We start from the raw sequence: 12,336 nt of genomic DNA, 5'->3' as shown, positions 1-12,336 counted from the left end.
TATTGCAAATAATGCTACCATATTATTGTATGTACTTCCTAGTACACATGTGCAATACTTTTTTGGGAATATATATGTTAAATTAGAACTGCTGAGTTATAAGGTATCTATACCTTCAACTTTACCAGATAATATACACTGTTTACCAAAATAGTTGTACCAATTTATATGTCCACCTGTGGTGGATGAAAGCTCCTTTATCAATCTATTAGATGTGAGTTGGTATTTCACTGTGGTTTGAATTTACATTTTGTTTATGACAAATGATGGTGGTCAACTTTACATATGTTTATTGACCATTTGGTGTTCTTCTGGGAAATATCAGTTCATAAACATTTTGTCCATTTTTCTATCAAGTTGTCTTTCTTCTTTGTCTTTATCTTCCCACTCTAATATAAACTTCACAAGGACAGAGATTTCTCTTCTGTATTCCAAGCACCTAGAACAGTGCTCCTGGTCACAACAGGCTTTCAATAAATATTTATCAAATTAATGAATGGAATTTCTGGATAGTAGGTGGGGCGTACACTTTGTAAATATCTTCACTCACTTTCAGGTTTTTTTTATCCTACAGTTCTTCTGAGGTAAAATTGATAAACTCATCAAATTTATCAGTTTCTCTTCATGGCTGGATTTTTGTATCTTGCTTATCATTTCTTATTCCAAGTGATTTTTCTATATTATATGCTGAACACTTTTATAAATCTGTCTTTCATATTTGAGTGTTTAATCCAGCTTGGAGTATTATTTATATAGTTCCAAGTTTTCTTTGTTCCATATGATCTCCCAATCATTCCACGACTATTTTTTAAAATGCCTGTCCTTACCCACCAATCTGCAATACCCGCTCTTCCATATATCAAATGCTTTTAAATGTACATTTCTGCTTCTGGGCTGTACTCTATTTCGGTTATCTATTTGTCTATTCCTGTGCCAATATCACAGCGTCTTTTTACATTAGCTTTATAATATAGCAACAGTTGATAGTGCAAATCCTCCTTTTTCAAGAATACCTTGACTGTATTTGGCCCTTTGCATTTCTGAGTAACTTTTAAATCAGTTCATCAAAGTCAACAAAAAATATGTTGGAATTTTGACTGGTAGAGCATTGAATCTACAAATCTTTTTAATATCAAGTCTTCAATCAATCAATGTGGAATATCTCTCCACTTAGATTTTCCTAGACATATCTCAGGAATGTTTTAATCATTTTCCCATAGCTATCATATATATTTTTTGTTGGATTTATTCTGAGGAACGTCATGCTTTTAATGCTATTCTAAATAGCATCCTTTCAAAATTTCATTTTCTATTTGATCCTAAAGTATAAAATTTATAATTTTGAATTTTAATATTAATGTTTACATCTAGTAACATTGTATATTTTCTTATTGCAAATACTGTATCCATAAACTTGTAAAATTTTTCTAGATATATGATGTAATCTACTTTTAAGAACACTTATTTCTTTTTTTTCAAGTTTTCTAATCCTTATACTTATTACTAATTTTCTTTTTACGTACCATGCTGGATAGTATCCCTGGTACAACACTGACTATGTCACTAGTTTTCATTGATTCTATGCTAGTCTTTTTTATGCTGAAAACTTCCTAAAACAAAGAGTGTGTATATTTACTAATCTCTATATTGACATAAGCCCTATGAAAACTCAACAAATATTTGTTGAAAGAGCAAAACTATTAATTAATTTTAATTTTAATTTTAAATGTTTTACACGACAAGAATAACATTGTAAAGAAATCTGATGATTCAGCTAGGAATATGTTCCACTGAAAGAAACAGAAAACCTAACAAAAGTAGCTTACACAATATGGATGTTGTTTACTATATCATTCAACAAGAAAATGAAAGATAAGTACCTGTTGGCATTGGTTCAGCAGCAGAAGGATGGTAGGCCAGATATATCTGCTATTTTTATGGCCTTTCCCTTATGGTCACAAGATGACCGCTACAGCTCTGGGCATGACATCCTAGTGTAATAAAAGCAGGAAGAAACAGAGAAGGGGCAGCTAAGTCTGTCCTTTGTGAGAAAGGCAGATACTTTCCTAGATGTAACCAAAACTGACTTCACCTTAGTTTTCATTGACAAAAACTCGCTGATTTGGCTATCTCAGGGAGCAATTAAGTGTGGGAGCAAAACACATGACCGTTGAAATTAATTTCAACTTATCACCTGAGACCGGTCTCACTGCTTCTTCATCGTGGTACTCTTATCAAGATAGGCTAGTAGATGTAAGTGCCTGCCACATGTGATACAGTTTTTCCTACTGCTTTCTTAATTTCATCCTTAGAGAATACAATTAGAAATAAGCTGCTGTTACTGCTAACCAAAGATCTCCTCCAATGTTTTATTAATTTTACACATGAACTAGGAGATATTCCATTAAAGCCTTTGTTAGGAAATCTTAATTAGTCAAAAAAAAATCCTTAAGGGATAAAAGGGATGCCTTTGAGATAGAATTTTAGTGACATCTCCAGTTTCTGGTTACATGATATTGGTTAAGCTTCTGAAAAAATCAAATAAATCCACAAACTTTCCTGATATGAATCTAATCTCGTTAATTTTCCTTTTCATTCAATCAAAAAATATCAGCCGGTCTGTATAAGCCCACTGAAAGGTGTCTTAATTCAGTAGTAGTCTTTCCTCAGGTATGCTCCATACACGAAGAACAATCCCATCATTAGTCCATTTAAAATAAAGACTACACCAACATAAAAGCAAGCAGGATCTCCCAATCCTTTGAAAAGATACAGATAATCAGTGTTTAATGAATATATGACTCGAAAGCAATTGGGCATAATTATCTCAGTGCTTTGCAATCAAGAGCTTATGAATTTGCTCAAAGCATTTGCTTTCCAGATTGCCGCTGTGTTTAATTCTTTACCCTTATAAGAGTTTGTGTGTGTGTGTGTATGCAAACACATATATGTATGTGTGTATATATGTGTGTATATATACACATACACATATGTAAGCTCACCCTTAATGAGGTATTATATAGTTACACTTTATACTTTTTATAATTGCATTTGTACTTTCATCTAATGAATTACTATTATACTGTAATGATTTGTTGGGGATTCACATTTATTTAGGTGATGCTGCTAGTGTTCAGTGTCTGGAACTGTCTGTAGAACCACTTAATGAATACAAAAGAAAATCCATTGCATTATTTTTATCTTTTGCTAGGCTCTAGGAAGAGTTAAGATATGGTTTTGACTTCAGGGTACAGCTTTAGTCTATATGAAATGATCCAGTCATTTGATCCATTATTATGTATAGCTAGAATCTTAGTATATTCCATATAGAAGATCGTGCGTGTGTGTGGCAATATGTACTTTACAACCATCCCACATTTTTCTCAGAACAAGTTTATGATATTAGCTGATATAAAAATACTTTTCTTATGATTAAGAAAACAGAACATAGAATATTCAACTTGTCAAAGGTTATTTCACTTTAACTGGCTGGAGCCAAGGTCTGAAGGCTGGCCTTCTGATTCCCCCTGCCTCTCTGGTCACTCCTTTCAATCAGTTCCAGTAATTTCTCTTGTTTTATGTACCACTCTTTAATACTGGACCACCTTAGGCTCTGTCATATGCTCCCTTCATTTCTCCATCTGCACATTCTCCATAAAGAAATTCTTCCACATCCATGGCTCCAATGATCTATATACAGATGACTCCAACTCTACATTTAATCCAGAACTTTCTCCTTATTCTTATACCCAGATAGCCACTTGATGCCCCCACTCTGAGGTCTCTCGAGTACCTCAAATTCAAGCATACACAATGAAACATAACAATACAAACCTGCTGCTGTTCAAATGTTTCCTACCATTCAAAGGAGCTCAGTTACTTAAGCTAGAAACCAAACTGTGTTTCACATGATTCTTCACTCACCTTCCCCTCTCTTACCAAACAATTACCAAGTCTTGTCCATTCTACTTCCAAAATCTCTCTCAAACCCACATTATCCACATTATCTTTCCTGCATATCCACATTATCTTTCCTGCAATCACTTGCTGAGAATATAATAGTCTCCTACCTGGCCTCCCTGAACCTACTTTTGTCCCTTTACTAATATTCTTTCCATACCATTGATTAAATAATGTTTTAAAATGAAACTCTGTTAAAATTCTTCAATGGATAAAGTATAAAATCCTTCACCAGTGCACGCCTTTCATGATCTGATCCTTGCTTATATTCCCAGCACCATTTCACATCATTTTTCTTCTCCATCACTTCCAGGAATTCTAGCCTTCTTTCAGTTCTCTCTTGCTTCAGGATATTTGAATATGTTATTCCCTATTCTTAAAATACTTATCCTCTTACTCCTAATGTCAGTAATCTTATTTTCTTATTTGTAGTATCCCTCACAGTTGTAACTGCTAAAAGACCTCTTACAGCATAAACTCTATGAAGGTAAGGCCCCATGTCTAGCTGGTTCATCTCTGTGTCCCAAGTGCCAAACACTAACTTATCACTTATTGGGAATGTAATTAATACCATATTTAGGTGATCATTTTCACCACTCAGACAGGGTCACACCTTCTAGCTGATTGAATCATTGCAAAGTATCTCATTTTATGAGGCATTTTCTCCAATCCTTTACATTGTACACAAAAAAGTATAATTGCCCCTCAAACATCCTCATCAATTCTATTTTTACTGAGGGAATCAGTAAAAAATGTAAGGAAAATAGATTTAGTTTATATTCCAAGAGTTGAATGTTGTTACAGACAAGTCTAAAAATTTATTCATAAAATATAATAAGTCATGTTGTTAAGAATTTGAAGAAATGCAGAAAAAACAACAGTGTTAGTGTTATAAAAAGAGATACATGTGGCTCTCAACAAGAGTCTCAAGGGACAGCACCATATTTGAATTATAAAAGTGCTGAAATGCAAACATCTTAAATGGAAGTGACCACTATGTATCCTGGAACGCTGTTGGATGACTCCAAAAGTGGTTCTTTGACAAAGAAACCAATGTAGAAGATAAATAGGAAGAGTTTTATTAATACTACTCACGGACTATGAGCATATATAAAAAAGTAATGTTTCTAAATCAATCTATTATTGCATATCCGATTTTTAAATATGTATGCATAATTAAATTTATACATTAGCTATTACAAATAGATATTTGACTCTTTAATCTATCCTCAAAATTTATATATTGAAGCTACCCCAAAAAACATCTGTCTGTATCTTCGCATTCTGAAATAGAAGACTAACTTATAGTCAAGGTTGCCTTACAATGGGATATGTTAATACTCAAATTCCAAAATTTATACTCAAATTTGTAAGTACACAGCCTTCTCAGAAAACTACTTTAAAATGTAAAATACTCATTGAGGTGAGCCAGTTCTAATTTTTTTTTAAATCAACAACAGTATTTTACAATAATTCTTTAAAGTGAATCATAATATTATTAAATGTTTATGAATGTTTACAAATGACAGCATTTTTGGAAGAAACATGCCTTCACAGCTTTGAACTTCATTAAGAGGTTCTATTCTGGTGACATTCCAGCAGGTGTTAGTTTCTAGTCCAAATAAATTCAGTATTCCCATGGATGTGCGATACCAGGAGGCTATGATTACCTTTAAAAAGATAAAAACAAAGAGATAATGGAGGAAAATATATTCTCTTCATAATAATAATCTTTCCAAAATACCATTTTGTGATGGTTGCCTTAGACATTATAAATTCTGACAAATTTATTTAGATCATTTCACTTAGGAATCAGTCACTTCAAAATTATACATTATGCCTCTATATAGAAAAATATTATATATGTGATACCCAATTCTGTAATATAAATAATAGTAAGTCAATATAAAAGTATATAATTAAAATATGGTGATAATAGAAAAATACAAAGATTTATAGAAACATTTCATAATTCACTTCATTTAGATCCTTGAATTTATTCCTTCATAAAATATATAAAATATATTATAAAAACTGGAACAGAATGGAATAATAGCACCTGTACCCATTACAATTTTAACCAAGCAGAAGATTTAATTGACCAATTGTTTCCAAACTGCAAGCTATTTTTAAAAGTTCAAAGACAAAGAAAAAATAACAACAGAAAAAAATTTCCAACAGAATGTTCATGTCTCAGAGGTTTTTTAAAAATAACACTATACATTCTGGGAAACTAATGTGAAATCACTGGGGGGAAAATGTCAAAAAATAAAGAGTTGAAAAGAGAAAGCAAGCACCTCTTAGAGCTAACCATTTTTAATATTTTGGTAATTGGTGCGGTGGCTCACACCTGTAATCCCAGCACTTTGGGAGGCCAAGGCGGGCGGATCATGAGGTCAGGAGTTCGAGACCAGCCTGGCCAACATAGTGAAACCCCATCTCTACTAAAAATACAAAAGTTAGCTGGGCGTGGTGGCAGGCGCCTGTGATGCCAGCTACTCAGGAGGTTGAGGCAGGAGAATCACTTGAAATCGGAAGGCAGAGGCTGGAAATCGGAAGGCAGAGGCTGCAGTGAGCCAAGATCACAGGACTGCACTCTGGCCTGGGCGACAAGAGCAAAACTCCATCTCAAAAAAAAAAAAAAAAAAGTTGGTGATTATCTTTCCAGTCCTCCCCCTAGGCATTTAAAGCATGAAATTAGAGTTACTCAATACTACCTAATGAGATCATATTATCAATGTTAATGTAATATACATCACTAAACATCAAAAACATCTTGCCTCGTCTCAGAAGTGTAGTTTTATTATGCAGGTTGACACAGTAGGAAAAGCATAGCTTTGATGTCAGAATTGAACTCAAATTCTGACTCTGCAAGTTATAGTTTCCATGGTCTCAAGTAATCCTTCAACGGCTGTCAATCACTTCACCTCTCAAATAAGTTTAATAATAACCATTCTACAAGAGAAGTGAGATAAGCGCTCACATATACAGTCGTATATGTCCTATATGTCCTAAGTATAGTGCTGGCATATAGTATGCAGTGAATGCTTTTACCTTGTTAAAACATTCTGTTCTAAACTTACATTTTTATTTGTAAATGAGAAATTAATCCCCTGTGAAATTAATCTCGCAGGGGGAGGGAAGCGACGGTTGCCGGGAAGCGCGGGCCACCCCTCCCTCCCTCCCATTCTTCGTCCTCCCCTCGCGCGCCACCCGTTTTTCCTCTTTCTCCGTTAATAACGGCTGGGTGGCTGGGGGAGGAGGGAAGGTGGCTCCGGCGGAGTCTGGGCGGGCGCCTCCCACTCAGCCGCCAGCCGCCGTGGGAGCCGGAGGATGGCGGCGGTAGCAGCGGCCGCCGGAGACTAGGCGGTGCGGAGGCCCGGGGCGCCAAGCGCGGCGGCAGAAAGCGGCAGCGGCCCGTCATGGCGCACCAGAACCGAAACCAGCGGCAGTCGCACCGCCACCTGAGTCGCCCCTTCCTGCTGGAGACAGCGAGGGGTGCCTGCAGCCGGGACACCTTCTTCTCCGCGTCTCCTCGTCTCCCGCGCCCGCGTCAGGCCGCCAGCCTTGCCCACCGCCCCGAGAAGAGCGCGCCGGGCGCCGACTGCCCCTCGGGGCGCCGGGCGGCGGCCCTGGACGTGCGGGGGCCTCTCTGGGCCGGCCGCAGCGCCTCGGCCCTGCCCTCTAGCTCCCGCGTTCGCTCCTGCCTTCTTGGCTCTCGGGGCACAGCGCGCGGCCCGGTCCGGAGCAGGGCGGACATGAGCGCCAAGCAGAGCGGCCTGGCCGCCGCTCACGGCGCACGCGCGCGTACTCGGCTCGGATCTACCTTCCAGTAGCAGCGGAGTGGCCAATGGGACCGGGACCAGAGCCGGGGGCCGGAGGCCGCCGCCGCGGGGAGGTTCCCGGCCCAGGTGCCCAGCGCTCACCAGCCCGGCGGCGCCGCGGCGGCCCCGCAGCTGTTTCCTCGGGGGGGCGTGGCGTCGGGGGCCTTCGCGGCGCAGTCCTCTTTCAGCATCCCGAACAGCAGCAGCGGCCCGTAGGACTCGCAGGACTCGGTGCACAGCAGCCCTGAGGATGGCGGCGGCGGCCGGCACCGGCCGGTGGGCTGGAGCCCCGGCGGGCCGCTCCTGGTGATCGGCTCCTTACCAGCTCACCTCTCACCGCGCATGTTTGGAGGTACGGACCCCTCTCCACGCGCCCGCGCTCGGTCCTCCCGCGGCTGCACGTGGGCCGTGGCCGCCGGCTATTTTTACCCTTCTCCTTTTCTCCTTCGGCCGGGGCGCCGGGGGCTGCTTCCCGGCCCAGCCCGCGCCGGTCTCCATCCTGGGAAGAAACCCGGCACGTAACACCTGCGGTGTCGCTGCCGCGTAGACACGTGGTTTTGTTTTTAAACATCGTGAGCACCCACACCTCAGCGGGTACTCAGTAGAGATAGTCTATTTTCCAGTGAGTTGACTGGAGCAAATGTTGTTTTACAGCAAACCCACGAAATAGCCCTTGTGGTTGTGGCTTTTAGTACCAGGAAGTCAGGAGGAGACGGTTGCTAAATGTAGTTCTATCTGGTACTCGAGTGGGGCACAATTTTTAAAAGCCAAAAGTCAAAGGGTCTCAAATGAACTCTGAGTTACCATCTTTGGACTGACTTTTAATATAAAGCTGTAATCCTTAAATCTGTGTCAGTAGTCCCACCTACTATGTCACTTTAATTGGATGAATGCGTTAATGAAAAGTTTGTTTTCAAACCTCACTAAACTGCTACTTAAGATCACAGTTAATGTGAGTCCTGCTTAATTTGGAAAGCATTTAAAAAATGGAAAAGTTTCTTAGGGAAGCAAAAATTTTGCAACTCTGCCTACAAGGTACAGTAATTGGCTAGGTTCTTTTGAAGAGCAGTGTTGACTAGAGTTAAGGAAAAGTCAGTTGTGAAAAATGGACATTTTTAATAGCAAAATGATGTGCTTTACTGTAGAAACAGGAGGAAGGGTGCATTTTCCTGGGGAAAATGAATTCTTCTTCAGTTATATTTTATGCTGCTCTACTTTATTGCAAAACGCTAATATTAAATGAATCAAGACCACCTCCCCTTCCCGCTTTATGAAAATAAATAGAAGTATAGAAGATAAGCATTCCCATTTCATCGCATTATGTATCTGATATTAGAAGAATTCGCAACTGAGCACAGATGAGCAACGAAAACACCATCCCCTACATTTTTGTGCCTCTTTTACTTACATATTTGTAAACGTAGGAACTTTGAGTGGAGACTTAGTAAAGTGGAATACGTAGTAATTTATCTGTTGTGATGTTCTGTGCTATCAGCACACACGCCAGCATAAATTAAAAATAGGAATGTCATGTTTAGTTTTTCCCATCTTTTTAGTAACGCTTTGTACATTCAATATGGAACGACGCTTGACTTTTAATTAGCAACCTTGTTTTAAAGTAATTTTTGCTTCTTAAAAATATTCATCCCTCTTAAAATTGGGCCATTTTTAAAAGTCATTTGCTTTTGAGTAAAAGAACTCCACTGGTGTCTTTAAAGTGATTTGATCACAACTAACCCAGCAGTTGAAGTTGCTGTAGTCCACACTGAAGAATATAAAAGGCAGTTTCTGAGAATTGGTGATTAGTGCGAAAATGAAGGGCAAACTGGTTTTTAATATTTATCTTTATCTTTTTAAAGTGAAAATTTGCATTTAGCAGTTATCAAAAGATGAATATTTGTTTGCTAAAGAAGGGTCAATAGGAAAAGCCTTGTCAAGTTAATATTTATTTAATATGCTGATTTTTAAAAATTCATTTTCTAAGAGCTGATAATTCCCTTTGAGAAACATTATAGTTCTGTGGGTTTATTTTGTTAAGTAAATGCATTCTATTCAGAGCAAGAGACAGTTCAACCCCATGCTATTCCTAGTAAGTAAAAATACCTAGTTGCTTAAAGTTGGAGATAAAGCATTTATCTTTTTTCTTATCTAAGTTCTAGATTTGTGCACTCACTATAGTTCTTTTAGTGCTGTTGGGGTTGGGTGACTGGGGCCTAGTAGTACAGTGACACTTTCTGAGGAACTTATAGCAGCCTTTCTCACCCGGCTTTCTGGAGAGAATTGTGCCGTAGTGTGCAATGAATTTTAACTTTCAGCACCAGTGCATTTAGGACGGTTTTAGTTATGTATCATTCTTGGAACAATTGAGAAAAGTCACTGAAATAATTTCCTATGTTTGGTGATTCAGATGAGGAACCTCAGTTGAGAATTGCTGGAAAGGGATCAGAGAAATTACCTGTTCTTATTATATGACAGGATCAGATGAAAGTGCCACATCCTGAAATCTCTGTTGAGGCAGGGAGATGGAATACACTTATTTAAAAACCCATCTTAGTGGCATTGCCTTACTGAGATTTTTACCTATATTTTAGTGGACGGGTTATTAGGAAAACAATAGAAGCATGTTTCTCATCATCTTGAGATTTAGGGAGCTAGATGAAGAATCTTAAAAAGTTAGACTTGACTGTACTTCACATTTACTTAATTTTTTAGTATCTATTATAGCATTATTGTGTTTATTCAGTTACAAATTGTATAAATGGTTATATACAAATAACTCCATCTGAAAATTGATAAAAGGATTATTTCAGAATTAATGGAAAGTTCATATTGTTTTTTGTAAAACTTGTTTTAATTGTTGTTTATATTATTAACGTCTCCTAATAAGAAAATGTGGTACTTATAAGATTCAAAATTATTCTCTTGTGAGGTCTCATGTAATTTATAGAAAATGAAAAACAGTCCCCCCCTTTTATTTTTAACACTTAAGAGTCTAGCAAGTGGAATTGTTAGTAGTTCCCTCAAAATGAATTGCCACATTGAACGAGGAAGTTTTCTGTGTTGGTTTTATGTTTTGCTGTCTTTTGCACATCTATTTTGGCTATATACACTCTTATTCTCTCTAGAGAACTGGAAGAAAAATGCCTAATCCAGATATTTCAGTGTGTAGAAATTTCCTAGAATTGAGTTGCCGGACATCAGAATGTGATTATATTTAGGAGTTTTTAGGTGAAGTAAATCTTGTGCTTGTTATTCTTTCCAGAGTGGGGAGTGTTAAAGCGAACAGACGCTTTCTTGACTACTGCTAGTGTGGTCCATCACCTTTGTTTTAAAAAAGGTCTTAAGGGTATTTCCTAATATTTAAAAATGTTGATGGTATTTTAGGGTTTGTTTGGCTTTAATTTACGTCTACGTTTTTTTTTCCACTGTCAAGTAGCTATTGTTCATAGAGCATAACATGAGTGGTAAAATAGCCTTTAATGATGCAGCAAGGATGGGGTAGATGAATTGGGCTATAGAAATATACCAATACATGGAGATTATTTCCAGAGAAATCGTGTGGACTTCTATAATGTATCCTTGAGTCCAGAAGTGAAAATGTAAAATGACTTAATCTAAGACAACCAGTGGTGCTGGGTTGCTTTTGGCCTCCTGATTTTCTTGAGCTTTTTTGGGTGTGGCTTGCTCATGAGTATTTCAGTAGTCTGATTGTAATTCAGGTGCCTTGTTACTTGTGCAACATGTTTTCTTATATTGAAGGAGTGTGGGTTATCTCTTAAAACTGAATATGTTGAATAAGACCTGTATTTCTAGGACGATTTCTCTTAATTTTTAAGCAGATGTGAAGTTTTATGCTGTTAGGTTGTCTTCATCAATTAACCATTATGGAATTGGTCTCAGTTATCACTCCTTACCAATATCAAGTGCCAAAATGTTTGAATTTGGGATACTGTAATTAATCTACTTCCTATTCCTGAATGTTATTTTGTGCCATTGAAGGCTTTTATGGGGAGTGACCAAAGAGGAATGTTTGCCTCTTTCTAAAAAAAATGAGCCTTCTAACCACAACCCCTGCCACTCCTGAAGTAATAAGAATTTTGGTGGTTATTGTTCCTCACTTGTGATTTCATACCTTCGTGTTATATGTTTTGCTGTGTGTAAGTGTGGCCTGTGTCATGGAAGTTTCTGCTTTGGGGATTTTTTGGAACTATTCTTGACTGCAAGGTGGGGAGGATTGGTGAGTTGCACAGGGCATCACTGATCTGAGAGCAGCGTGACCTAAGAACCTGGTATTTTGATGCTTTGCTGGCTGGTGCAGTGCCTGAGGGAGTAAGAGTCCTGTTGTTGTAAGATAGTGTCTTACTCCCTCAGGCACATCTCCAACAAGTCTCTTGCTCTCCTCCAATTTGATTGCTTTGCCTGGTGACCAGTAAGTAAGTTCTTTTGATTACCAGATACATTAATTAGATATCAACTTTTAAACTATTTATTATTATTTGGGTTTGTAAGGAGAATTGCCCTAATATTAAACTTATTACATGTACTAAGTATT

General features: G+C 38.1%; 1 long non-coding RNA gene, 1 other non-coding gene and 2 pseudogenes across 5 annotated transcripts in view, besides 1 other annotated feature; 3 read left to right on the top strand and 1 right to left on the bottom strand.

The window, feature by feature from the left end:
• Nucleotides 1-7,755, bottom strand: part of DPY19L2P3 (DPY19L2 pseudogene 3) — a 57,468-nt pseudogene extending 49,713 nt beyond the window's left edge. Inside the window, exons 1-3 of one of the 2 annotated variants that reach the window (NR_158194.1) lie at nt 7,044-7,755; nt 5,510-5,630; nt 1,881-1,991 (exon numbers count right to left, since the gene is read on the bottom strand). The product of NR_158194.1 is annotated as a DPY19L2 pseudogene 3, transcript variant 3 (transcript). Of the gene's footprint in view, nt 1-1,880; nt 1,992-4,665; nt 5,631-7,043 lie in introns of those variants that run through there. The other variant, NR_036482.1, reaches the window with a different exon arrangement.
• On the top strand, nt 7,088-8,137 carry ZNRF2P2 (zinc and ring finger 2 pseudogene 2; annotated as a pseudogene). Its single transcript, NR_027347.1, has one exon. The product of NR_027347.1 is annotated as a zinc and ring finger 2 pseudogene 2 (transcript).
• The window catches only part of MIR550A3HG (MIR550A3 host gene), a 39,217-nt gene continuing 34,651 nt past the window's right edge, over nt 7,771-12,336 (top strand). Inside the window, exon 1 of the long non-coding RNA NR_024278.1 lies at nt 7,771-8,136. This is a non-coding gene — a long non-coding RNA (MIR550A3 host gene). The remainder of the gene's footprint in view (nt 8,137-12,336) is intronic.
• Nucleotides 7,926-7,975: a silencer, noted in NCBI's record as "silent region_18048". NCBI's record gives its function as "represses an Ori minimal core promoter by ATAC-STARR-seq in GM12878 lymphoblastoid cells {active_cell/tissue: GM12878}" and the evidence as "EXISTENCE:reporter gene assay evidence [ECO:0000049][PMID:35858748]".
• On the top strand, nt 12,081-12,175 carry MIR550A3 (microRNA 550a-3). Its single transcript, NR_039600.1, has one exon. It is a non-coding gene; the product is annotated as a microRNA 550a-3 (primary transcript).

Source organism: Homo sapiens, chromosome 7, assembly GCF_000001405.40.
Source record: "Homo sapiens chromosome 7, GRCh38.p14 Primary Assembly".
NCBI lineage: Eukaryota > Metazoa > Chordata > Mammalia > Primates > Hominidae > Homo > Homo sapiens.
This window is presented reverse-complemented; position numbering and strand designations above follow the sequence as displayed.